Below are 26,823 nucleotides of genomic sequence, written 5' to 3' on the forward strand. Positions count from 1 at the left end.
TCTGAGGCCAGCAGTTGGCTCCTATGGACACTGAGTCTGAAATTCCCTGCACACTCCTGTGACCCCGTGCAGAACGAAGGAGCGGGGACTGTCCCTTGAGTGAGGATGACGCTAGTGTTCTCTTCTATCAATAGCAAGTTTGGCTGAAATGCAAATATCCAATAACCAGAGTGCAGAAAGCAGCTCGCCCTTAGAGAAGCTGTGGCTAGAATCCGTCAGTCTGGCTCTGCGGGGCCTGATACCCAGGGCTTCAGCTGTCACTCAGATGTGGGGGGCGGGACCTAGTATTTCATCCAATCAGAGGTGCTGGGGCGTGGCACTGCCCACAGTTCATCCGGAAATGGAGGGGGTCGCTTTCCTCACCTTCCTCGCTGCGCGGGCGGCGGTTGGTAACCGGTCAGACCAGCCCGAGAGGGACCTGGTGCCTGTACCCAGGCTTCTGTCGCTCTGTCGCCTGCGCTATGCCCTGCTGTAGTCACAGGAGCTGTAGAGAGGACCCCGGTACATCTGAAAGCCGGGAAATGGTGCGTGTGCGGGACCAGATGTCGTGAGACGGGGGAGGGGCTGCCTGGAACAGGCGGGAACCGGCTGTGGCGGGACCCGGGCCTCCCTGTGGGCGACTCCGGGGTCTGGGACCGAGTCCTCCTTGAGCAGTTCGGCCCTCGGTCCCCTTGGCCGCTGGACGGGGCTGGGCCAGCAGCCAGGACCCGGGCGTCCTGTCCCGTCCCTGCGCGGCGACTGCGGCCGCGGCCCCTGCCCCGGAGCCCTCTCTGGGCAGTTCCGCTCCCGCAGCCCCGCGTCTCCCCAGATTGTGCGGAAGCAACGGGAGGGTCATGGAGGCATCCTGACTCGGGTGTGGGGTTCGTGCGTGGGAGGAGCAGTGGTCTGTGGGGCCCCCAGTCCCCACTTTCTCCTGTTAAAAATTAAACTGAGGTACGTTAACAATTAAAGAGTTCATTTGAGCAAACAGCGATTCACGAATGAGAAACACCCCGTCCTGGGTTGTGGTTTGTCAACGGAAAAAGCCAAACTATGTAAAATAAAGAAGTTTATTCAGAGCCGAATAGGAGAGACCTTGGCCGAGGGAAACACAACCCCAAGCAGCCTGGAGTAAGTGGTCCCGAGGCGGCTCAAGACAGTTTGGTTTTATTCATTTCAGAGAGACAGGAATTGCAGGGAAAATGATGAATCAGTGCCTGAAAGGTGTAAGTTCCATTGGCAGAAAGGGTGGGACCTGTGGAAGGGGGGTTAGAAGGCACAGGTGGTTGAGGGATTCTGTAGGTGGCAGCTGGTTGAGAGTGTGAAGTTTGTCTAAAGTTTGGAGGAGGTAGGAAGGAAGGGGGTCTGTTATCTGCCACTTGATTCCATCCCAGCCAGAAAACAGACCTGTTTCTCTAGATTTTATGAATTCTGAGGCGTGACTTTACTTTTGCCTTGCGTGGCCTTAGGTTTTGTTTGTAAGTTAGTATCTTCTTGCCACAAGCAGTCTGTTTTTCCATTCTATCTATTTTTACATGAATGTGTGGGAGAGGGTATAAGGAGACCTGTCTCACCTCCCATCCTGTCATACAGAGGCACTCAATTTTCAGGGTTTTTTGCGGGTCCTGTTGGCCAAGAGCCGGTCACTTCACTTAGCTGGAAAGGTACTTTGTTTTTATTTGAGACGGAGTCTCCTGTCGCCCAGACTGGAGTGCAATGGCCTGATCTCGGCTCACTGCAACCTCCACCTTCCGGGTTCAAGTGATTCTCCTGCCTCAGCCTCCTGAGTAGCTGGGATTGCAGGCATGCACCACTATGCCCTCCTAATTTTTGTATTTTTAGTAGAGATGGGGTTTCACCATGTTGGCCAGGCTGGTCTCGAACTCCTGACCTCAAGTGATCCACCCACCTCAGCCTCCCAAAGTGCTGGGATTACAGATGTGAGCCATCTCGCCGGGCCAGAGGTATGTTTTTATTTTTAGTTTACCAGTTTAGGGGTAAGCTTTTATAAGTTACGTGAGGAGACAAACCAGATAAATGCTTGATTGGTTGCAGAGATGCAGTTGCCTTATTTGGACTTGTCACTCCGAAATAATAGAAAGGTCAAGATTTCAGTTGGAAGAGTTTATTCAAGCGGAAGGATAGCAGTGGCCCATTTGGGAAAAACACAGACTCTAGGGAAATAGACTCAGTACTCCAAAACTGGAAGTTAAGTTCTTGCTTGTATTACCAGGAAAAGAGGTCCTGATCAGACCCCAGGAGAGTTCTTGAATCTCACACAGGAAGGAATTCAAGACGAGTCACAAAGTGCAGTGAGAAGAGAGTTTATTGAAAGCTACTCTGGGCCAGCATGATGGCTTAGGCCTGTAATCCAAGCACTTTGGGAGGCCAAGGTGGGAGGATAACTTGAGGTCAGGAGTTCGAGACCAGCCTGGGCAACATAGTGAAACCCCATCTCTTCCAAAACTAGCAAAAATTAGCCGGGTGTGGTGGCCTGCACCTGTAGTCCCAGGTGTTCAGGAGGCTGATGTGAGAGAATCACTTGAACCCCAGAGGCAGAGGTTGCAGCCCAGCCGAGGATGTACCACTGCACTCCAGTGTGGGTAACAGAGTGAGACCCCATCTCAAAAACCAAAACAAACAGGAAAGAGGTCAAGACCAACCTGGCCAACACAGCGAGACCCTGTCTCTATTTAAATAAATAAATAAATAAATAAATAAATAAATAAATAAATAGAAAAGGAAAAAGAAAGAAAAAGCTTCTCTGTTTCAGAGTAGGGCATCCTCATACAGCAAGTGGAGGAACGTACTGTCTTTAAGTTTTTCTTATGTAGGGATCTTTTCTATGTAAAGAATAAACTACCTGTGCCTATGTGCATGTGGGCTGACAGCATCACAAAATTTATTACTCTGTTGATTTAAAGAAAACTATCCTTTACATTTTAGCACCCAAGTGCATTAAAACATAACTATAATTATCTTGAAAGCACATATTGTTATAGGTATTGGGACATCAGGACATTCTATTGTTGTGGGAGTGTAAGGATACTTGCAGGCATCTTCAGGCTGTTTTCTTCATGGGAAACATTTTGTGATCATGGGTTGTGACTGACAAGGAGTGTTTCTTGTTAGTGTCAAGATGGAGCTGAACTTAAATTGGTGTTACTCTGGCTCCCCTAGGCACCTGCTTCCCTAACACTTGTATAGGCAAAAGGCAAATAAATGTAACAGGATTATGTTTTCCATAGAAGGCTGATGTATGAGATACAACAATTTTTTTTTTTTTTGAGACAGTATCTTGCTCTGTGACCCAGCCTAGAGCAGTGGTGCGATGATGGCTTACTGCAGCCTTGACCTCCCCAGCTCAAGCACCTCCGCCTCTCAAGTAGCTAAGACTACAATTGCCCACCAGCACACCTGGCTAATTTTTTATTTTTTACAGAGGTTAGGTCTCGTTATGTTGCCCAGGCTGGTCTCTGGCTCCTGGCCTCAAACAGTCCTGCTTCCTTGGCCTCCAAAAGTGCTGGGATTACAGATACAGATATCAGCCACTGCACCTGGCTAACAACTTAATTCGTAATGGTTTACTTTTTTCCCCCAGAGCTTGTTTTCTTTTCTTTCTAGCTGGTTTTTATTTCCTTTTCAATTTAAGAGTGAATTTAACATTCCATCTGAAGACAATCTGATAGCCATGAAATCTTTGTGTGAGAAAGTAGTCTCTGGGCCGGGCGCGGTGGCTCACGCCTGTAATCCCAGCACTTTGGGAGGCCGAGGCGGGCGGATCACGAGGTCAGGAGATCGAGACCATCCCGGCTAAAACGGTGAAACCCCGTCTCTACTAAAAATACAAAAAATTAGCCGGGCGTAGTGGCGGGCGCCTGTAGTCCCAGCTACTTGGGAGGCTGAGGCAGGAGAATGGCGTGAACCCGGGAGGCGGAGCTTGCAGTGAGCCGAGATCCCGCCACTGCATTCCAGCCTGGGCGACAGAGCGAGACTCCGTCTCAAAAAAAAAAAAAAAAAAAAGAAAGTAGTCTCTGTAGTCTTACTACAGAGATCAGTAGTGAAGAGGGGCCTGGTAGGATGGCTCACACCTGTAACCCCAGCACTGTGGGAAGCCAAGGCAGGTGGATGGCTTGATCTCAAGAGTTCAAGACCAGCCTGGGCAACATATTGAGACCCCATCTCATTTGTGAAAAATCATATTAATATAAGTTAAAAAAAATAGTGGAGAGGGAAAGGGTCTTTCCTGTTTCCCTTCAGTCATTTACAACATTTTACAAAACGCTATAGGTAGGAAAGAAGGCGAATCTGTAATCAGGGAATGGAGGATTCCAGCTAGCTATGTGAAAGCTGTGTGTCAGGTCACTCAACCCCATGATCACATTGCTTCAAGATAATTTAAAGATCTACCAGCTTAAATTTTTGAATTACTTTGTTGTTTTTGTTGTTTGTTTTGAGATAGGGTCTCACTCTGTCACCCAGGCTGGAGTGCAGGCGCGATCTCAGCTCACTGCAGCCTCCGCCTCCTGGGTTCAAGTAATTCTCCTGCCTCAGCCTCCCAAGTAGTTGGGATTACAGACATGTGCCACCACACTCAGCTGATTTTTGTATTTTTAGTAAAGACAGGGTTTTACCACACTGGCCAGGCTAGTCTCAACTCCTGTCCTCAAGTGATCCACCCACCTTGGCCTCCCAGAATGGTGGGATTACGGGTGTGAACCACTGCGCCCGGCCTGACTCATTTGTTCAAACAGCCTATGTAGGTAGAAAATTTCTAGGTATGTAATTCCAAGGTAATAGGTAAATTGTGCCTGATTAAGCATGAATTTTATTTCCCTATACATTAGTAATTTCTGAGAGTTGTATTTAAATTCGATTTCAGGGTCCTTAGGTAGGACCTTAGGACACTACACACAGTTCAGTCTCATTGCTTGTTATTTAAATTTTTCCACACTTTCCAGGGCAACTGGTTCCCCCTTATATTTTCCAAATATATGGGATGCCGGATCTCAAATCCTCCACCCTCATACCACAGCCTAACTCTTCAAGGGCTTGCAGTGAAATCTGTTTCTGAACATTTCACATGAGAGGAAAGCAGAGAATAACCACTAGACATTTGCCTGAAAAATCCTTTCTGCCTCTCCTCCTTTTATCTTTCCTAGACACAGACACCTTATCAGGATGTCTTTGGGATGAGGTTCCTTTATGGAAACTTTGCAGGGTGATATGTCTTCAGTACACCCTCCTATCTTTTCCAGATTTTGAGTTTTAGAACTGCCTGTAGCTGACCCAAGACCCCCACAATTGCCATGTCTCTTGGAGGGTCTAGTGGGTATCTGTGCCTAGGGGAGTGGGGCCTCCCAAGGGAGCAGCTGAATGACTAGTGGTGGAGGAGATGCCTGGTATACTTTTCATCTAGATACCCAGTTCGTGGGTGCTCACCTTCTCTCTCCTAACTTCAGTTTCCATTAATTGGAGACACATGGCCAATCAGCTAATTGGATGTTGCTATTGAGGAAAAACAGAAATGATTCCTGTCCTTTGGATTGTCTCAACTGTGAAGAGAGAAATATCCCAAAAGACAAGGAAAGGCCACCCCAACAAGGTTGTATTTAGCTGTCCTACAGGGAGGTGGTCACCAGAATGCAGTTGTGGAACAAATATATGTGAGTTGACCACATGGAGGAACTGGGAGGAGGTGTAGAACTGGAAACTCTGTTGAGTTTGAGTAAAGTTTACTTCTGTTATGAGAATGTTAAATCTATAATCAAAATGCATGCTAAGGTAACATATCAATATAAGAACTCACTATAACCGGCAACTCTAGAATTAATTAAATTATTGTATATGGAGATGACAGGTAGTGGATTGATTATTCTCCTGTAGATAACCATTTGTCCCTGCTTTTTCTGTTAAGTGTTCACCACTTGTATCATTGGCTGACAATACCTGGTTTGTCATAGTTTCACATTACCTTAAATAGATGCCCAGACTGGGTGTGGTGGCTCACGCCTGTAATACCAGCACTTTGGGAGGCTGAGACTGGCATATCACCTGAGGTCAGGAGTTTGAGACCAGCCTGACCAATATGGTGAAACTCCATCTCTATTAAAATTCAAAATTAGCCAAGCATAGTGGTGCATGGCTGTAATCCCAGCTACTCGGGAGGCTGAGGCAGGAGAATCACTTGAACCTGGGAGGTGGAGATTGCAGTGAGCCGAGATTGCGCCATTGCTCTCTAGCCAGGGCAACAAGAACAAAATTCCGTCTCAAAAAAAAAAAAAACAACATAGATGCCCTCGTTTCACAATTTGCTGTTTTCCATTGGTCTATCTTTCCATCTGTCTGTTAATACCACTTTCTCTTAATTAGTATAGAGTACAAAGCTGCAGTGTGTAGTAGGGATAGTGCCTCTCTATCTTAGTCATCTTGGGCTGCTATATCAAATTACCATAGACTGGGTGACTTAAAGAATAAACATTTATTTCTGGCAGTTCTTGAGGTCATGAAGTCCATCTTCAGAGAGCTGGCAGATCTAGTGTCCAGCAAGGGCCCGCTTCCTGGTTTGCAAATGATCGTCTTCTTGTGGTTTCTTCACATGACAGAGGAGAGGAAGCCGGCTCTCCTGTGTCTTCTTATAAGAGCACTAATCTCATTCAGAAAGGATTTACTCCTATGCTCTCATCTAATCCTAATTACTTCCCAGAGATGTCACCTTCTAATACTATATTGGGAGTAGGTTATTAATGTATGATTTTTTTGGATTGATGCAAATATTCATGCCATAACACCTCCCAACAATATTCTATAGAGGATCTTGTCTATTTTTAGTCATTGTCTTCTATTTCAGTCTTTAGAAGTACCTTTTTCTTAATTTTAGTGAGGGAAACAAACTGCACTGTAAATTTCATAAAATATAACTGTAGGCATATTTCAGAGAGGTTACATCATAGTGATACTTAATCTCCTTTTAAGGACACATGGCATTTTTCCATTTATTGCATTTTATACTGATGTTTTTCAGTATAAACTTTTTGCATAATAATCATTTTTTATCCTTCTTGAGACTTTTTTGGACTTCAAGAAAATTAGTTTTAAAATTAGTGGCCAGGCACGGTGGCTCGCGCCTATAATCCCAACACTTTAGGAGGTCAATGCATGCAGATAGCCTGAGTTCAGGAGTTCAAGATCACCCTGACGAGCATGGAGAAACCCCATCTCTACTAAAAACACAAAATTAGCCAGGCGTGGTGGCAGAGGCCTGTAATCTCAGCTACTCAGGAGGCTGAGGCAGGAGAATCGCTTGAACCTGGGAGGTGGAGGTTGCAGTGAGCCAAGATCCCAAGATCGTGCCATTGCACTTCAGCCCAGGCAGCAAGAGTGAAACTTTGTCTCAAAAAAAAAAAAAGAAAGAAAATAAATTAGTCCAGCCTGGGCAACATGGCAAACCTTGTCTATACAAAAACTTACCTGGTCATGGTGATGTGCGCCTGTAGACCCAGCTACTCAGGAGACTGAGGTGGAAGGATCTGTTGAGCCTAGGAGTTCAAGGCTGCAGTGAGCTATGATTGCACCACTACACTCCAGCCTGGGTAACAGAACGAGACCCTGTTTCAAGAAAAAAGAAAAGACACAAAAAAATTAGTTTCAATATGCTATGCTGTTGTTGCTGATAATTAAAATTCACTGAGATTTATTTCTGTATAGAGTGTGCATTCTAGAAACTAACTAAAAGTATTACATATGCACAAAATACATAAAAGAGTTGCACAATGAATCCAAATATTGATGGAGTCAGTACTGTGAACGATAACTGCCTTACTTTTCTTTATACTTCCCCAACCTGGGTACCCATCCACATCAGTATATTTTATTTTTGCATGTTTTTTATGCAAACCAATATGTGATTTTTTTTTTTTTTTTTTTTGAGACAGAGTCTTGCCCTGTCGCCCAGGCTGGAGTGCAGTGGCGTGATCTCGGCTCACTGCAAGCTCCGCCTCCCGGGTTCACGCCATTCTCCTGTCTCAGCCTCCCAAGTAGCTGGGACTACAGGCACCCGCCACCCCGTCCGGCTAATTTTTTGTATTTTTAGTAGAGACGGGGTTTCACCGTGTTAGCCAGGATGGTCTCAATATCCTGACCTCGTGATCCGCCTGCCTCAGCCTCCCAAAGTGCTGGGATTACAGGCGTGAGCCACTGCACCCGGCCAATATGTGATATTTTATATTGGATTTTATTTAAACTCAGTTATGAACCTTACATGGAATGATAGTTAATTCACTTTCTTATTTAGTTGATTTTATTATTTAGAACAGTGGTTGTTTACCCAAAACATTGAGCAGATAATCCAGAGTTCCCTCATTTTTCTTCCAAGCTCATAGTTCCCCCTATTTTAAACATCTTGACTGGCCAGGTGCTGTGCCTCATACCTGTAATTCTACCACTTAGAGAGGCTGAAATGGGAGGATAGCTTGGACTCAGGAGTTGGAGGCCAGCCTAGGCAACATAGCAAGGCCCTGTTTCAAAAAAAAAAAAAATGTTTTAAACCAAGGAAACCATATTGACTGTGTGTAGTGTATCCTATAATTGATGCAAGAATATATTACATGTGAACACGATGAAAATTGAAGAAGCCAATATTATTATTACCTAAAGTCCATCTTTTACATGAAACTTCACTCTTTTTGGGCTGTGGTTTAAGACAACTACGTGTGTCATGTATCCACCATCACAGTCTTATACAGAAGCGTGTCACAGGCCTCAAAATCCCCTGTGCTCTTCCTAATCATAGCTCTCCCCTCCCTCTTCTGCCACCCCTATTTATCCCTGGCAACAAATGATAATGTTCCTGCCTCGGTTTTGCATTTTCCAGAATATTAAATATTTGGAATGATGCTGTAAGTGGCCATTTCAGACTTGCTTCCTCGATGTAAAAATATGCATTGAAGGTCTCTCGATACCTTTGTTGCTTGACAACTCATGTATTTTTTATTTTTATTTATTTATCTAAAAAAAATTTTGTTTTTGAATGGTGTGAACCCAGGAGGCGGAGCTTGCAGTGAGCTGAGATGGCGCCACTGCACTCTAGCCTGGGTGACGGAGCAAGACTCCATCTCAGAAAAAAAAAAAAAAAAAATTTGTTTTTGTTTTGTTAGAGACAGGGTCTCAAACACCCCAGCTCAGGTGATCCTCCCACCTCAGCTTCCCAAAGTGCTGGGATTCCACTTGTGAGCCATCATGTCCGGCCACTCATTTTCTTTCATCACTGAGTAACATTACGTTGGATGGGTGTTACCATAGTTTCTTTATTCACCTACTGAAAGGCTCATCTTGAGCCTGGTGTGATGCCTCATCCCTAAATTCCCAGCTACATGGGAGACAGAGGTGAGACGATTGCTTGAGGCCAGGAGTTAGAGAACAGCCTGGTAGATACAGTGTGAGACCTCATCTATTTTTTTTTAAAAAAAGACTCACCTTGTTTGAGTCTAGTTTTTGGCAGTTATGAGTAAGGCTGCTAAAAACGTCTGTGGGAGGACTTTTGTGTGGACATCAGTTTTCAGTTCATTTGGGTCAATATTGTAGGATTGAGACTACTGAATCAGTAGGACCATGCTTATTTTCTTCAGACCTCCGCAGACTGTCTTCCGAATTGGCTGTAGAATTTTCCATTCACATCGATAGTGAATGAGTGTTCATTGTCATTGGCATTAGGAAGTGTCAGTGTTTTGGATTTTAGCTACTGCACCAGGTATTTGCTGCTGCCTCATTGTTTTCTTTTTTTTCTTTTTTTCTTTGTTTGTTTGTTTGTTTGTTTGGAGATGCAGTTTCGCTTTTGTTTCCCTGGCTGGAGTGCAATGGCGCAATCTCAGCTCACTGCAGCCTCTGCCTCCCAGGTTCAAACGATTCTCCTGACTCAGCCTCCAGAGTGTCTGGGATTACAGGCGTGCGCTGCCTCTCCTGACCAATTTTTGTATTATTAGTAGAGATGAGGTTTTACCATGTTGGCCAGGCAGGTCTCAAACTCCTGACCTCAGGTCATCCACCTGCCTCGGCTTCCCAATGTGCTGGATTACAGGCGTGAGCCACTGCGCCCGGCCTGTTTTCATTTCGCTCTTTAATGACACGTGATGTAGAGCATCCTGTCATATGTTTGCCATAATTACAGTCTTTGGTCGGGTGCGGTGGCTCACGCCTGTAATCCCAGCACTTTGGGAGGCCAAGGCGGGTGGATCAGGAGGTCAGATCAAGACCATCCTGGCTAACACTGTGAAACCCCGTCTCTACTAAAAATAGAAAAAATTAGCCAGGCATGGTGGCGGGCGCCTATAGTCCCAGCTACTGGGAGGCTGAGGCAGGAGAATGGCATGAACCCGGGAGGCGGAGCTTGCAGTGGGCCGAGATGGCACCACTGCACTCCAGCCTGGGCGACAGAGCGAGACTCCGTCTCAAAAAAAAAAAAAAAAAAATTACTGTCTTTGTGGGGAGGTATACTTGGAAAGATCTTGTTTTTTTTTTTTTTTTTTTTTGAGACTGTGTCTGGCTCTGTTGCCCAGTCTGGAGTGCAGTGGTGTAATCTCGGCTCACTGCAACATCTGCCTCCCAGGTTCAAGTGATTCATCTGCCTCAGCCTCCAGAGTAGGTGGGATTATAGGCTTACACCACCAGGCCCAACTAATTTTTGTATTTTTAGTTGAGACTGGGTTTCACCATGTTAGGCTGATCTCGAACTCCTGACCTCGATGATCCACCCACCTCAGCCTCCCAAAGTGCCGGGATTATAGGCATGAGCCACTGTGCCTGGCTTTTTGCTTCTTTTTTGATTGGTTGTTTTTTTTCTTATAGAATTTTAGGACTTCTTCATACCTTTTGGATACCAGTCCATCACCAGATAGGCGTTCTGCAATTATTTTGTCCCAGTCTGTCACCTTTTTATTCTGTTAACAAAGTCATTTCCAAAACAGACAGTTTTACTTTGTTTGTTTTGTTTTTAAATTATACTTTAAGTTCTAGGGTACATGTGCACAACGTGCAGGTTTGATACATAGGTATAACATGTGCCGTGTTGGTTTGTTGCACCCATCAACTTGTCATTTACATTCGGTATTTCTCCTAAGGCTATCCTCCTCCCAGCCCTCCAGCCCCTGACAGGCCCCGGTGTGTGATGTTCCCTGCCCTGTGTCCGAGTGGTCTCATTGTTCAGTTCCCACCTATGAGTGAGAATATGCAGTGTTTGGTTTTCTGTTCTTGTGATAGTCTGCTGAGTATGATGATTTCCAGTTTCATCCATGTCCCTGCAAAGGACATGAACTCATCCTTTTTTATGGCTGCGTAGTATTCCATGGTGTATATATGCCACATTTTCTTAATCCAGTCTATCATTGGTGGACATTTGGGTTGGTTCCAAGTCTTTGCTATTGTGAATAGTGAATATTGCTTTATAGTAGCATAATTTATAATCCTTAGGGTATATACCCAGTAGTGGGATTGCTGGGTCAAATGGTATTTCTAGTTCTAGATCCTTGAGGAATCGCCACACTGTCTTCCACAATGGTTGAACTAGTTTACAGTCCCACCAACAGTGTAAAAGTGTTCCTATTTCTCCACATCCTCTCCAGCACCTGTTGTTTCCTGACTTTTTAATGATTGCCATTCTAACTGGCGTGAGATGGTATCTCATTGTGGTTTTGATTTGCATTTCTCTGATGACCAGTGTTGATGAGCATTTTTTCATGTGTCTGTTGGCTGCATAAATGTCTTCTTTTGAGAAATGTCTGTTCATGTCCTTTGCCCACTTTTTGATGGGGTTGTTTGTTTTTTTCTTGTAAGTTTGTTTGAGTTCCTTGTAGATTCTGGATATTAGTCGTTTGTTGGATGGGTAGATTGCAAAAATTTTCTCTCATTCTATAGGTTGCCTGTTCACTTTGATGGTAGTTTCTTTTGCTGTGCAGAAGCTCTTTAGTTTAATTAGATCCCATTTGTCAATTTTGGCTTCTGTTGCCATTGCTTTTGGTGTTTTAGTCATGAAGTCCTTGCCCATGCCTATGTCCTGAATGGTATTGCCTAGGTTTTCTTCTAGGGTTTTTATGGTTTTAGGTCTAACGTTTAAGTCTTAATCCATCTTGAATTAATTTTTGTGTAAGGTGTAAGGAAGGGATCCAGTTTCAGCTTTCTACATATGGCTAGCCAGTTCTCCCAGCACCATTTATTAAATAGGGAATCGTTTCCCCATTTGTTGTTTTTGTCAGGTTCGTCAAAGATCAGATGGTTGTATATGTGTGGTGTTATTTCTGAGGCCTCTGTTATGTTCCATTGGTCTATATATCTGTTTTGGTCCCAGTACTGACAGTTTTACTTTGAAGTCCAATTTATCGATTTTCTCATTCACAGATCATGCTTTTTGTGTTGTGTGTGAAACCTTATTGCCAAATCCAAGGTTGTCATGGTTTTCACAAGTGTTACGTTCTAGAAGTTGTGAGTTTTGCATTTTCCATTTAAGTAAATGATTCATTAGGAGGTAGTTTTGTAAAAGGTGAAGTTCTGTATCTAATTCATTTCTTTGCATTTGCTAATCCAGGTGTTTCAGTACCATTTGTTGTATGCCACCATGTCTAATTATTTATTTATTTTATTACAGAGACGGGGTCTCCCTATGTTGCCCAGGCTGGTCTCGAACTGCTGGGCTCAAATGACCTGTCTGCCTTGGCCTCTGGTTTTGAATTTTTAATACATGTCTTTATAGTAGATTTTTCTTTTTTTCTTTCCTTTTTTTTTTTTTTTTGAGACAGAGTCTCGCTCTGTCACCCAGGCTGGAGTGCAGTGGCGCCATCTCGGCTCACTGCAACCTCCACCTCCCAGGTTCAAGCCATTCTCCTGCCTCAGCCTCCCGAGTAACTGAGACTACAGGTGCCTACCACCACGCTTGGCTAATTTTTTGTATTTTTAGTAGAGACGGGGTTTCACCATGTTAGCCAGGATGGTCTCGATCTCCTGACCTCATGATCTGCCTGCCTCAGCCTCCCAAGGTGCTGGGATTACAAGTGTGAGCCACCGCACCTGGCCTATAGATTTTTCTACGTTCCTTGTGCCTCTCTGTCATCTTATGGAATCTTCTCTTGTATAGTTCATTGAGTGTTTTTAATCATGAGGAGATATTAACCCATTTATGCTGGAGATTGCAATTTTTTGAATTGCAGATGTGTGAGAAATCAGACTTTGGCAATAACCTTGAACAGTAGGATATAAATAACTCCCACATGCTTAGCGTTCCAAAAATGGAACACTACTCATAAATGGGCTAAGGCTTGTCAGATACCTTTTCTGCCTCTATTTATTCATTCTTGTCGTTTTTTGTTCGTTTGGAGACGGAGTCTCACTCTGTCATCCAGGCTGGAGTGCAGTGGCATGATCTTGGCTCACTGCAACCTCCATCTCCCAGGTTCAAATGATTCTCCTGCCTCAGCCTCCCAAGTAACAGGGACTACAGGTACACACCACCACACCTGGCTGATTTTTTTTTAATATTATATTTTAAGTTCTAGGGTACATGTGCACAATGTGCAGGTTTGTTACACATGTATACATGTGACATGTTGGTGTGCTGCACCCATTAACTCGTTATTTACATTAGGTATATCTCCTTATGCTATCCCTCTCCCTTCCCCCTACCCCATGACAGGCCCCGGTGTGTGATGTTCCCCTCCCTGGGTCCAAGTGTTCTCATTGTTCAGTTCCCACCTATGAGTGAGAATATGCGGTGTTTGGTTTTCTGTCCTTGAGATAGTTTGCTCAGAATAATGGTTTCCAGCTTCATCCATGTCCCTACAAAGGACATGAACTCATCCTTTTTTGTGGCTGCATAGTATTCCATGTGTATATGTGCCACATTTTCTTAATCTAGCCTATGACATCTGGGTTGGTTCCAAGTCTTTGCTATTGTGAATGGTGCCGCAATAAACATACATGTGCATGTGTCTTTATAGCAGCATGATTTATAATCCTTTGGGTATATACCCAGTAGTGGGATGGCTGGATCAAATGGTATTTCTAGTTCTAGATCCTTGAGGAATCACCACACTGTCTTCCACAATGGTTGAACTAGTTTACAGTCCCACCAACAGTGTAAAAGTGTTCCTATTTCTCCACATCCTCTCCAGCACCTGTTGTTTCCTGACTTTTTAATGATTGCCATTCTAACTGGTGTGAGATGGTATCTCATTGTGGTTTTGATTTGCATTTCTCTGATGGCCAGTGATGATGAGCATTTTTCCATGTGTCTGTTGGCTGCATAAATGTCTTCTTTTGAGAAGTGTCTGTTCATGTCCTTTGCCCACTTTTTGATGGGGTTGTTTGATTTTTTCTTGTAAATTTGTTTAAGTTCTTTGTAGATTCTGGATATTAGCCCTTTGTCAGATGGGTAGATTGTAAAAATTTTCTCCCATTCTATAGGTTGCCTGTTCATTCTGATGGTAGTTTCTTTTGCTGTGCAGAAGCTCTTTAGTTTAATTAGATCCCATTTGTCAATTTTGGCTTTTGTTGCCATTGCTTTTGGTGTTTTAGTGATGAAGTCCTTGCCCATGCCTATGTCTGAATGGTATTGCCTAGGTTTTCTTCTAGGGTTTTTATGGTTTTAGGTCTAACATTTAAGTCTTTAATCCATCTTGAATTAATTTTTGTATAAGGCGTAAGGAAGGGATCCAGTTTCAGCTTTCTACATATGGCTAGCCAGTTCTCCCAGCACCATTTATTAAATAGGGAATCGTTTCCCCATTTGTTGTTTTTGTCAGGTTCGTCAAAGATCAGATGGTTGTATATGTGTGGTATTATTTCTGAGGGCTCTGTTCTGTTCCATTGGTCTATATCTCTGTTTTGGTACCAGTACCATGCTGTTGCGCCTGGCTAATTTTTGTATTTTTAGTAGAGATGGAGTTCCACCACGTTGGCCAGGCAGGTCTCAAACTGCTGACCTCCATAATTGCACCTGCCTTGGCCTCCTAAAGTACTGGAATTATAGGCATGAGTCACCACACCTGGCTGCTACCATGATTTATTATCATTACTTATTGGAAAACAAAACTTAAAACTTACCAGCTTAAGGAATTTTACACGTACACTTGAGATAGTTTGACAAATCTACATAAGTTCTGTAAGATGAATTCTATTGTATTTTGCTTATTGCAATTATCCTGAGGTTTCACGCATGTTGTAGTATGTAACAAGACGTTTTCTTTTTTTTTTTTTTGAGACAGCAGGCTGGAGTTCAGTGGCACAACCTCGGCTCACCGCAGCCTCTGCCTTTCAGGTTCAAGCAATTCTCCTGTCTCAGCCTCCTGAGTAGCTGGGATTACAGGCATGTGCCACCACACCTGGCTAATTTTGTATTTTTAGTAGAGACAAGGTTTCTCCATGTTGGTCAGACTGGTCTCCAACTCCAACCTCAGGTGATCGACCTGCCTCGGCCTCCAAAAGTGCTGGGCTTATAGGCATGAGCCACAGTGCCCGGCCAAGATGTTATTTTCTAAGTATAAATAATATTTCAATGTATTGTGTCCGGAATTGGTGGGTTCTTGGTGTCACTGACTTCAAAAATGAAGCCGTGGACCCTTGCGGTGAGTGTTACAGCTCTTAAGGTGGCGTGTCTGGAGTTTGTTCCTTCTGATGTTTGGATGTGTTCAGAGTTTCTTCCTTCTGGTGGGTTTGTGGTCTCGCTGGCTCAGGAGTGAAGCTGCAGACCTTCGTGGTGAGTGTTAACAGCTCTTAAGGCAGCGCGTCTGGAGTTCTTCGTTCCTCCTGGTGGGCTCGTGATCTCGCTGGCTTCAGGAGTGAAGCTGCAGACCTTTGTGGTGAGTGTTACAGCTCATAAAAGCAGCGTGGACCCAAAGAGTGAGCACTAGCAAGATTTATTGCAAAGAGCAAAAGAACAAAGCTTCCACAGTGTGGAAGGGGACCCGAGTGGGTTGCCACTGCTGGCTCAGGCAGCCTGCTTTTATTCTCTTATCTGGCCCCACCCACATCCTGCTGATTGGTATAGCCGAGTGGTCTGTTTTGACAGGGCGCTGATTGGTGCGTTTACAATCCCTGAGCTAGACACAAAGGTTCTCCACGTCCCCCCCAGATTAGCTAGATACAGAGTGTTGACATAAAGGTTCTCCAAGGCCCCACCAGAATAGCTAGGTACAGAGTGTCGATTGGTGCATTCACAAACCCTGAGCTAGACACAGGGTGCTGATTGGTGTATTTACAAACCTTGAGCTAGATACAGAGTGCCGATTGGTGTATTTACAATCCCTGAGCTAGACATAAAGGTTCTCCAAGGCCTCACCAGAGTAGCTAGATACAGAGTGTCGATTGGTGCATTCACAAACCCTGAGCTAGACACAGGGTGCTGATTGGTGTGTTTACAAACCTTAAGCTAGATACAGAGTGCCGATTGGTGCATTTACAATCCCTGGGCTAGACATAAAGTTTCTCCACGTCCCCACCAGACTCAGGAGCCCAGATGGCTTCACCCAGTGGATCCTGCACCAGGGCTGCAGGTGGAGCTGCCTGCCAGTCCCGCGCCATGCGCCCGCACTCCTCAGCCCTTGGGTGGTTGATGGGACTGGGTGCTGTGGAGCAGGGGGCGGCGCTCATCGGGGAGGCTCGGGCCGCACAGGAGCCCATGGAGGAGGTGGGAGACTCAGGCATGATGGGCTGCAGGTCCCGAGCCCTGCCCCGTGGGAAGGCAGCTAAGGCCGGGTGAGAAATCGAGCGCAGCACCGGTGGGCTGGCACTACTGGGGGACCCAGTACACCCTCTGCAGCCGCTGGCCCAGGTGCTAAGCCCCTCATTGCCCAGGGCCAGCAGGGTCGGCCGGCTGCTCCGAGTGCGGGGCCGCCAAGCCCACGCCCACCCAGAACTCCAGCTGGCCCGCAAGCGCCGCGCGCAGCCCCAGTTCCCGCTCGCGCCTCTCCCTCCACCCCTCCCTGCAAGCTGAGGGAGCCGGCTCCCGCCTTGGTCAGCCCAGAAAGGGGCTCCCACAGTGCAGCAGTGGGCTGAAGGGCTCCTCAAGTGCCGCCAAAGTGGGAGCCCAGGCAGGGGAGGCGCCAAGAGCGAGCGAGGGCTGTGAGGACTGCCAGCATGCTGTCACCTCTCAGTATGTATATACTTACCACATTTTGTTTATCCATTCAGCCGTCAGTGGATATGTGGGTGGCTGCATTGCTCATTACTGCCACCCCAGGAAGGTTGTATAGTGGTTGAATCTGTGCTTATTACACCTGGTATCTCTTAGGAGTTTCTCGTTTGGCCTCTTGTGCACTTAGGGTGCCAGGTTTTGCTTAGGAATGTCCCCTTTCCTTTGCCCTTCTTACCAGCATCTATCTAGCTGCATTCTGACAGGATAACTGCAAAGTGAATGATTCCTGGGCATCATAATGGATGTTTCTTTCTACTTAGGTGTTTCCCCTCCTCTCTGCTTATATCTAGCATGCCTGTTTTGGGTGGTCCCTGGGGGTGTGGGCTTTCCCCTGGACTTCCCCTCCTGCTCTTGGCTAGCTATCTGCCTTCTCTAACAATGTCATCAAAGATTACACTTTGGGAACAGGCATTTTCAAGGAAACACAGCCTCAGGACTGCTAATGTTAACTTTTTTCTGCCTATTAATTCATAGGACTCCGTTATGACAGGTGCTACAGACCCACAGTCCAAAGAGACATTAGGGACAGCCCAGGCAGCTCGTTTTTCTCCCTGGATTTGTAGCAGGACAAGCCGCAGACAAAACCTCTCAGACACTGGGTTAGAGAAGGAAGTGGCTTTATTCGGCCAGGAGCGTCAGCAGACTTGCGTCTTAAAAACCGAGCTCCCAGAGAGAGAGAAATTCCTGCCCCTTTTGAAGGCTTACACAGGGATCCACATGAAAGGATCGTGATCAATTAAACAAGGATGGAGTGTGTAATTGGGGCTGCATGCATCGGTAACAGGACAGAGCAGAACAGAAAGACTTTCACAGTGCTTTCTCATACAATGTCTGGAATCTATAGATAATACAAGTGGTTAGGTCAGGAGTTGATTTTTAACTACCAGGCCTGGGGTGTGGCACCGGGCTGTCTGACTATTGATCTCATTTCTGCCTTCCTTTAACTTTTGCTTCCTCTTTCTTGTTCTGAGGTATGAGACAATAAGAGAGGTGGTCTCCTTCCTTATTCCCCCCTTTGAGAATCTCACTTATTAATGGGAGTTCTCACTTTCATCCTTACTACCTAGGTCTTCCTGCAAGACAGATCAATAGTGGTTAATGTAATACACTTGTGCTGAAACATTTTGGTGGACCAAGGTAGTGACAAAGCTTCTCATTATTTGAAGGAGCACAGGTAGCAAGCAGGGGAGTAACAAGCAGGTTTCTATTATTATTATTATTTCTATTATAAGTGTTTTAAATCCTCCTAGTGCTGGAAACCATTTTCCAAATACAGATTTAGGATTAAACCCATGCCAAAGCTGTACAGGCACATGTGCCAACTTTGTTATGTCCTTAACTATGTTTTTGACTACTTGCCCTTGATTATTTATATGCAGACAGCAATTGGTTAGGTTAAATTTTCCATAGACCCCTCCTTTAGCTGCTAGCAAGTAGTCTAGGGCCAGTCTATTTTGATAGATAGCATTTTTCATCTGGGTTTCTTACCGGGCTAAAACAGTTAAAGCTCTGCCAGTTTTAGTAGTGATTATTTCTAAGATAGCTTGTAACCATATGATCCGGTTGAGCATGTAAATGGGGGTCTCTTTTTTTTCTGTTTTAGCTATTTTTTTTACTTCTATTACCTAGAAAAGAACTAGTTTTTAAATCTTATTTCAAAGACTGTGATCATGGGAGGCTCAGATGGGTTATGGTACACATCAGGTCGGGCATTTCCTGGGTTACACACTTTGTACTGAGTGGTGTTATACAGGCAAGTTCCTTTTAAAGTTCCTAGGCATTCATAATAACTAGAAAACCGAAAGATTGTTTTAACTTGTTGCCCTACCTCAGTAACCTGATGAATACACTGGGAACAATCTTCCATGTGGGGAAAATCAGTTGAAGTCCTTATTCTACAAGTCCAAATTTTAAGGAGAATAAGTCCCATGATGAGTTTCCTCATGCTTTGGCCGCACATAGACCAGTCAGCTTCCAGGTGTGACAGGAGCAGGGCTTGTCGTCTTTTTCAGAGTCACTTTGCAGGGGTTTTCCAGGTTTGGTCCTGCCTCCCAGGAGCTGCAGGTTTTACATGACTGTGGTGGATCCAGGCCGGGATTCCCTCTACCTTCACGGTGGTGTGAGTGGTCTGTGGTCCCTTCCACCATGGGCACAAGGGGGCTACATTCCAGTCCTTGATCCACACTCTATTACCTGGGGAGAAAGGGTGAACTGGGGAGAATAAGCTAATGGGGCGTTTCTCGTTTACCTAGGCTGAGATTGTTCGTGTAATTTTTCGTAAGGCCTGTAGCTGTCGCTGTAACTTAATTTCACCTAATTCTCAGGGAGTGCCTGGAAGTCCCCATACTATGGGAGGAGGGCTATGATATAATATTTCATAAGGGGAATATCCTGTTTTTCTAGAAGGGGTAAATTTAATCTTAATACCACAGGGAGAGCTTGTACACACTTTAATCCTGTTTCTTGACACACTTTCCCTAAACTATTTTTGATAGTCCAATTCATCCACTCCACCTTTCCGGAACTCTGAGGTTGGTAGGCAGCATGCAGTATCCATGTGATCCCCAATACCTTTGCTGTCTTCTGTACCAAGTCAGCCACAAACGCTGGCCTGTTATCTGAGCCAATTCGTAAGGGCAGTTCAAACCTAGGAATAAGATCTTGAAGAAGCACACGGGTTACTTCACCAGCTTTCTCAGTTCGCGTTGGATAAGCTTCCACCCACCCAGAGTATGTACACACAAGAACTAGTAAATACTTGTTATCTTCACATTTTGGCATTTCTGTGAAGTCTACCTGCAGATCTTCAAAGGGGGCTGCTCCATAAGCTTGTATGCCAGCCGGGACGGTTGGACCCTGCCTTGCATTGTGTTGTTGGCAGGTAATACATCGCTGTGCCACTGTTTCAGCAAGGGCTGATAAATGTGAGATGTAGAAGTACCGGCTTAACAACTTTTGAAGTGACTCCTGGCCTAGATGGGTGGTTTTATGCACAGCCAGTATGACTGTGGCTCCCAGCAGCTGTGGCACAGCTACTCTCCCATCCAGTAACCACATCCATCCTTCTTCCATCACCTGTCCTCCCTCTGCCTGGAGAAAGTCCTTTTCTTCTTTAGAATAAGTGGGTACAAGGTAGGCCACTGGCCTTGGCCAGGGCCCCACAGTCTGGGTTAGAACTCCAACTGCCTTTTTTTCTTTTTCTGACACAGTGTAAAAGGCTTTGTTAGATTAGGTAGCCCCAGGGCTGGGACTGACATAAGTTTTTCCTTTAACTCATGAAAGGCTCACTGTTGTTGGGATTCCCATTCAAAAGGTTCCCAGCACCCCTCTTTGTGACCCCATATAGAGGTTTGGCCAGTACTGCAAAGTTTGGGATCCACAGTCTGCAGAACCCTACTGCTCCTAAGAATTCTCTCACCTGCCTTCTGGTTTTAGGTTGCAATAGGCTGCAGATGACCTGCTTTCTTTCTGAGCTTGATTGACCAAGCACAAGTCCTGTACTGGCCTGTAGTTCTTGGTCCCTGGCTTGGGAACAGGCAGGAGGGTAGTGTTCCATGGAGACTGGCAAAGGACTATAATTCCAAAGGCTCTCAAGTGCTTGAGGTGGACCTGGATTCCTTCAAGAGCTTCTCTAGGGAACCGGGTACTGTTTTTGCCTGACCGGCTGGGCCCCAGGCTTAACTTCTGTAGGTACGGGGGTTTGGTTGACTGCCAGCCCTGGAGGGTTGTCTTCTGCCCACACCTTTGACCATCACTTAGCCAGAGCTGGTCTTATCTCTTGACCTGGCTCGGTTAAGAAAAGTCTTCATTCCTCCTCCTGGGGGACAGTAAGGGCCATGATGACTCCCTTTCCGGGTAACTTTAGCTGTAAAAGAGCTGTGCTCTGTAAGAGAGATGGTGGCTCTCAGCTTGCTAAGCAAGTCCCTTCCCAGCAAGGGCAAGGAGAAGTCGGGCATGTACAAGAACTGGTGGATTACTTCATGTACCCCTATAGTACAAGTGCAGGGCAAGCAGAAAGCTTGTTTTGCCGAGACTCGTGTGGCTTCGATTATATCAATAGTCTTTTTGGATAAGGGGGTGACCGGGGTGGTTACTACTGAATATTCAGCACCAGTATCGACAAGAAACTCTATGTCCTTGTCCCTGACTGTCATCCTGACCATGGGCTCGTTAGGGGCACCTGAGCCTGGTCCCCCTTAGTCCAGTAGCCCTTCTGCCAGATTAAACAAGGCCCTTTCATCCTTGCCTGAGACCTCTGGCTTGGAGCCATTTTGTTTCTTCTTTAACTGGGGGCACTTGTCTTTCCAGTCTTAGATCGTAAATGAGCTGCCAAGGGAGGGGTTTCTCCCGCAGCTTCACATTCTCTCTTGTCTGTTCTGGGTGGTCTAGGGGTGTATCTGTCCAGAGGAGGCACAGGTGCTGTGGGCTCAGGAGTGGGGAGTCTCTCTTCTAGGTAAGGACGGGGGGCATTGCTGTGCCATTTCCTGCCATGGGTCCTCTGACATTGGGTCAGATAGAACTTTAGGAGCTGACTTCCCTTGGCGGGTGGGGAGAGATCCCTCATTGGCTATCTGTCCCTTTGCCACTAACACTGCTGCTGCCTGTCCTCTCAACCACTGTGGGGGGTCTAAAACCAGCTGTAACTAAGTGTCTGTGTACAGGAACTTGTCTGGATACCCTGGCTTACAGGTAATCTTGTGCCATACCTTTGAAATAAGGGACCTATCCAGGCTTCCTTCTGATGGCCAACCCACCTCTAATGCTGGCCAGTCTGTCTCACACAAAGTTCTAAGTTTTCCTGGTGTTATAGTAACTCCATAGTCTCCCTTAAATCCCTTTTTGAAATTTTTTATAACATAGTTCCTAGTGGGGTGGGCTTACTTTGTGTCTGACCCATTTTTCTTTCGAGACAAGACAACACTCACACTACAAGAGGGAAAGGGTAAAGGTCACTCACGCGTGGTGGTACATGCCTATAATCCCAGCTACTCGGGAGGCTGAGGCAGGAGAATCGCTTGAACCCCGGTGGTGAGCCAATATCACGCCATTGTACTCCAGCCTGGGCAACAAGAGTGAAACTCTGTCTCAAAAAATAAATAAATAAATAAATTGCTTTATGGAAGAAAGTAAGTATAGATGGAGAGAAAGGGATCTGATAACCGAAGCAGGGAATAAATGTTTGGAGTCCACAGCATCCTGAGAACTTCTTGGGAATAGAGTCTAGGCCTCCAGTGCTGTCACTCTCACCCATCTTCCTCTACACATGTGAGATGTTTCAGGACCCAGTGGCCTTTGAGGATGTGGCTGTGAACTTCACCCAGGAAGAGTGGACATTGCTGGATATTTCCCAGAAGAATCTCTTCAGGGAAGTGATGCTGGAAACTTTCAGGAACCTGACCTCTATAGGTAAGGATGACAATATTCCTTCCGTCAGTGCATTAGCAAACCAGTGTTTCTAGCTCATGAATGCTGTTGAGTGATTTTGAACATAGACAGGAAATACCTTGATGAATAAATGAGGCATGGCTGCAGTAAATCATGGGCACAGAATCTAATAATTTTTTCACAATTTTATACTGCTTCAGGACTATTTTTCTGTGTCTGTATTTTAGGAAAAAAATGGAGTGACCAGAACATTGAATATGAGTACCAAAACCCCAGAAGAAGCTTCAGGTAATTTGCATTTCCAAGAGAAAGCAGTGTCTCTCTGCACAATCTTAGAATATGAGAATATGTTGAAGAGAAGTAAAACAAAGAACTAAATCCAGCATCAAATTCATTTCTTCTTAGAATATTTTCTCAAAAAACATATATTTAAACGTGACTGAGGCTGAGGGCTCACTCCTGTAATCCCAGTCCTTTGAGAAGTGGAGATAGGAGGATAGCTTGAGGCCATCAGTTCCAGAACAGCCTGTGCAACATAACGAGACCACATATCAACAACAGCAAAAAATTAGCTGGGCATTGTGGTGTGTATGCATCGGTAGTCCCAGCTACTCAGGAGGCGAAGGCAGGAGGATCACTCGAGACTTCAGGAGTTAAAGGCTGCAGTAAGCTATGATGATATCACTGTACTCCAGCATGGGCAACAGGACAAGAACTGGACTCAAAAGAAAAATGACATACAGTATTTAGTAATTGTAAAATAGTTTACATGGGAATACTATTAAGAAGCCCCTTATGAATATTTTTTTAAACAATAGGTATGGCTGGGTCATCTTGTAGAACATGTCCAGTCACCTTCAAACGATTCAGACAGGGCAGAAAGCCTACACTTTGATGGACAGTGTTAAAAATGCAAGTGCAATACTTGTTGATTAATATAGAAGTACTTGTAAACAAACCCTTCATGATGTGTTTCTCATGTTTTACAGGAGTCTCATAGAAGAGAAAGTCAATGAAATTAAAGAAGACAGTCATTGTGGAGAAACTTTTACCCAGGTTCCAGATGACAGACTGAACTTCCAGGAGAAGAAAGCTTCTCCTGAAGTAAAATCATGTGACAGCTTTGTGTGTGCAGAAGTTGGCATAGGTAACTCATCTTTTAATATGAGCATCAGAGGTGACACTGGACACAAGGCATATGAGTATCAGGAATATGGACCAAAGCCATATAAGTGTCAACAACCTAAAAATAAGAAAGCCTTCAGGTATCGCCCATCCATTAGAACACAAGAAAGGGATCACACTGGAGAGAAACCCTATGCTTGTAAAGTCTGTGGAAAAACCTTTATTTTCCATTCAAGCATTCGAAGACACATGGTAATGCACAGTGGGGATGGAACTTATAAATGTAAATTTTGTGGGAAAGCCTTCCATTCTTTCAGTTTATATCTTATCCATGAAAGAACTCACACTGGAGAGAAACCATATGAATGTAAACAATGTGGTAAATCCTTTACTTATTCTGCTACCCTTCAAATACATGAAAGAACTCACACTGGGGAGAAGCCCTATGAATGTAGCAAATGTGATAAAGCATTTCATAGTTCTAGTTCCTATCATAGACATGAAAGAAGTCACATGGGAGAGAAGCCTTATCAATGCAAAGAATGTGGAAAAGCATTTGCATATACCAGTTCTCTTCGTAGACATGAAAGGACCCACTCTGGGAAAAAACCGTATGAATGTAAGCAATATGGGGAAGGCTTATCCTATCTTATAAGTTTTCAAACACACATAAGAATGAACTCTGGAGAAAGACCTTATAAATGTAAGATATGTGGGAAAGGCTTTTATTCTGCCAAGTCATTTCAAACACATGAAAAAACTCACACTGGAGAGAAACGCTATAAATGCAAGCAATGTGGTAAAGCCTTCAATCTTTCCAGTTCCTTTCGATATCATGAAAGGATTCACACTGGAGAGAAACCCTATGAGTGTAAGCAGTGTGGGAAAGCCTTCAGATCTGCCTCACAGCTTCGAGTGCACGGTGGGACTCACACTGGAGAGAAACCCTATGAATGTAAGGAATGTGGGAAAGCCTTCAGATCTACCTCACACCTTCGAGTGCATGGTAGGACTCATACTGGAGAGAAACCCTATGAATGTAAGGAATGTGGGAAAGCCTTCAGATATGTGAAGCACCTTCAAATTCATGAAAGGACAGAAAAACACATAAGAATGCCCTCTGGAGAAAGACCTTATAAATGTAGTATATGTGAGAAAGGCTTTTATTCTGCCAAGTCATTTCAAACACATGAAAAAACTCACACTGGAGAGAAACCCTATGAATGCAACCAATGTGGTAAAGCCTTCAGATGTTGCAATTCCCTTCGATATCATGAAAGGACTCACACTGGAGAGAAACCCTATGAGTGTAAGCAATGTGGGAAAGCCTTCAGATCTGCCTCACACCTTCGAATGCATGAAAGGACTCACACTGGAGAGAAACCCTATGAGTGTAAGCAATGTGGGAAAGCCTTCAGTTGTGCCTCAAACCTTCGAAAGCATGGTAGGACTCACACTGGAGAGAAACCCTATGAGTGTAAGCAATGTGGGAAAGCCTTCAGATCTGCCTCAAACCTTCAGATGCATGAAAGGACTCACACTGGAGAGAAACCCTATGAATGTAAGGAATGCGAAAAAGCATTCTGTAAATTCTCTTCTTTTCAAATACATGAAAGGAAGCACAGAGGAGAGAAGCCCTATGAATGTAAGCATTGTGGGAATGGATTCACATCTGCCAAGATTCTTCAAATACATGCAAGAACACACATTGGAGAGAAACACTATGAATGTAAGGAATGCGGAAAAGCATTCAATTATTTTTCTTCCTTGCATATACACGCAAGGACTCATATGGGAGAGAAGCCATATGAATGTAAGGATTGTGGGAAAGCATTCAGCTAGCCTGGTTCCTTTTATGGACATGAATAGACTCACACTGGAAGGAAGCACTATGAATGCAAGCAATGTGGCAAAACTTTCACATTTTCCAGTTCTTTTCGATATCATGAAAGGACTCACACTGGGGAGAAACCCTATCAATGTAAGCAGTGTGGGAAAGCCTTCATTCCTTTTACTTCTTTTCAATGTCATGAAAGGACTCACACGGGAGAGAAACCCTATGAGTGTATTCTAGTTCCGTTTGATATCATGAAAGGACTTACACTGGAGTGAAACCCTATGAATGTAAGCAATGTGGGAAAGCCTTCAGATGTGCCTCGCACCTTCAACGGCATGGAAGGGTTCACACTTGGGAGAAACTCTATGAATGTAAGCAGTATGGGAAAGCCTTCAGATCTGCCAAGATTCTTTGAATACAGATAATTAATGTAAACAATTATCATAAGTATACTAACATGTTATTCTTTTTAAATAAGAAGGTATAATAAAATATCCCATTGGTTTTATGTATTAGATCAAGCTTATAATGTTACATTGTTATTATTTGGACATTGTGAGTCAGTATTACCATGTGGATAAAATGCCAGGCATCTTTTTCCTCATGGAAAGTTTACTTTTTGCACCGGGCACAGTGGCTCACGCCTGTAATCCCAGCACTTTGGGAGGCCAAGGCAGGCGGATCACGAGGTGAAGAGATCAAGACCATTCTGACCAACGTGGTGAAACCCTGTCTCTACTAAAAATACAAAAATTAGCTGGGCATGGTGGCGCGCACCGGTAGTCCCAGCTTCTCGGGAGGCTGAGGCAGGAGAATCGCTTGAACCTGGGAGGCGGAGGTTGCAGTGAGCAGAGATCACACCACTGCACTCCAGCCTGGCAACAGAGCAAGACTCCATCTCCAAAAAAAAAAAAAAAAAAGAAAGAAATTTTACTTTTCATGCTTATGTACTTATTTTTTATCTCAACCCTAATTTTGCTGGTTTTTGTTTTTTTTTTTTCTGATAGTCTCATTCTGTCGCCCAGGATAGAGTGCAGTGGCGCAGTCTCAGCTCACTGCCACCTCCGCCTCCTAGGTTCAAGTGATTCTCCTGCTTCAGCCTCCTGAGTAGCTGGGACTACAGGCGTGCCCCACCTCACCCAGCTAGTATTCGTATTTTTTTAGTAGAGATGGGATTTCACCATATTAGCCAGACTGGTCTCAAACTCCGGACCTCGTGATCTGCCCACCTCGGCTTCCTAAAGTACTGGGATTACAGACATGAGCCACTGGGCCCGGCCTCAACCCTAATTTTTCATTCACTCATTATGCCAAAAGTTATCTC

At 44.8% G+C, this 26,823-nt stretch overlaps 2 protein-coding genes across 3 annotated transcripts in view, besides 5 other annotated features; both read left to right on the forward strand.

Annotated features, from left to right (window-relative positions):
- Positions 1-573: an enhancer, noted in NCBI's record as "H3K27ac hESC enhancer chr19:12035565-12036137 (GRCh37/hg19 assembly coordinates)". NCBI's record gives its function as "activates a minimal SCP1, AML or CMV promoter by ChIP-STARR-seq in primed H9 embryonic stem cells {active_cell/tissue: H9 hESC(primed)}" and the evidence as "EXISTENCE:reporter gene assay evidence [ECO:0000049][PMID:30033119]".
- The window catches only part of ZNF69 (zinc finger protein 69), a 92,441-nt gene that overhangs the window by 36,968 nt on the left and 28,650 nt on the right, over positions 1-26,823 (forward strand). The gene's annotated exons all lie outside the window — the stretch shown is intronic.
- Positions 21-70: an enhancer, noted in NCBI's record as "active region_14038". NCBI's record gives its function as "activates an Ori minimal core promoter by ATAC-STARR-seq in GM12878 lymphoblastoid cells {active_cell/tissue: GM12878}" and the evidence as "EXISTENCE:reporter gene assay evidence [ECO:0000049][PMID:35858748]".
- Positions 121-230: an enhancer, noted in NCBI's record as "active region_14039". NCBI's record gives its function as "activates an Ori minimal core promoter by ATAC-STARR-seq in GM12878 lymphoblastoid cells {active_cell/tissue: GM12878}" and the evidence as "EXISTENCE:reporter gene assay evidence [ECO:0000049][PMID:35858748]".
- On the forward strand, positions 358-26,014 carry ZNF700 (zinc finger protein 700). Of its 2 annotated transcripts, none has more exons than NM_001271848.2 (4): positions 358-524; positions 22,423-22,558; positions 22,765-22,825; positions 23,527-26,014. In NM_001271848.2, exons 1-4 carry the CDS (start codon positions 462-464, stop codon positions 25,502-25,504), a joined length of 2,238 nt encoding a protein of 745 aa, NP_001258777.1. In that variant the 5' UTR covers positions 358-461; the 3' UTR covers positions 25,505-26,014. The 2 variants fall into 2 exon arrangements, with proteins under 2 accessions (NP_001258777.1, NP_653167.1); NM_144566.3 differs by having other exon boundaries at positions 22,432-22,558.
- Positions 621-820: a silencer, noted in NCBI's record as "silent region_10135". NCBI's record gives its function as "represses an Ori minimal core promoter by ATAC-STARR-seq in GM12878 lymphoblastoid cells {active_cell/tissue: GM12878}" and the evidence as "EXISTENCE:reporter gene assay evidence [ECO:0000049][PMID:35858748]".
- Positions 24,940-25,169: a silencer, noted in NCBI's record as "fragment chr19:12060504-12060733 (GRCh37/hg19 assembly coordinates)". NCBI's record gives its function as "represses an EF-1alpha promoter that drives an FKBP-Casp9 reporter gene in an ReSE screen in K562 erythroleukemia cells {active_cell/tissue: K562}" and the evidence as "EXISTENCE:reporter gene assay evidence [ECO:0000049][PMID:32094911]".

Source organism: Homo sapiens, chromosome 19, assembly GCF_000001405.40.
Source record: "Homo sapiens chromosome 19, GRCh38.p14 Primary Assembly".
Taxonomy (NCBI): Eukaryota; Metazoa; Chordata; class Mammalia; order Primates; family Hominidae; genus Homo; species Homo sapiens.

Bases quoted from the DNA above. Each gene is read 5' to 3' on its own strand.
- ZNF700 (NM_001271848.2), top strand. From the start codon at position 462: ATGCCCTGCTGTAGTCACAGGAGCTGTAGAGAGGACCCCGGTACATCT. The intron at 22,559-22,764 runs GTAAGGATGACA...TCTGTATTTTAG, and splicing joins CAGGAACCTGACCTCTATAG to GAAAAAAATGGAGTGACCAG. The intron at 22,826-23,526 runs GTAATTTGCATT...CATGTTTTACAG, and splicing joins AACCCCAGAAGAAGCTTCAG to GAGTCTCATAGAAGAGAAAG.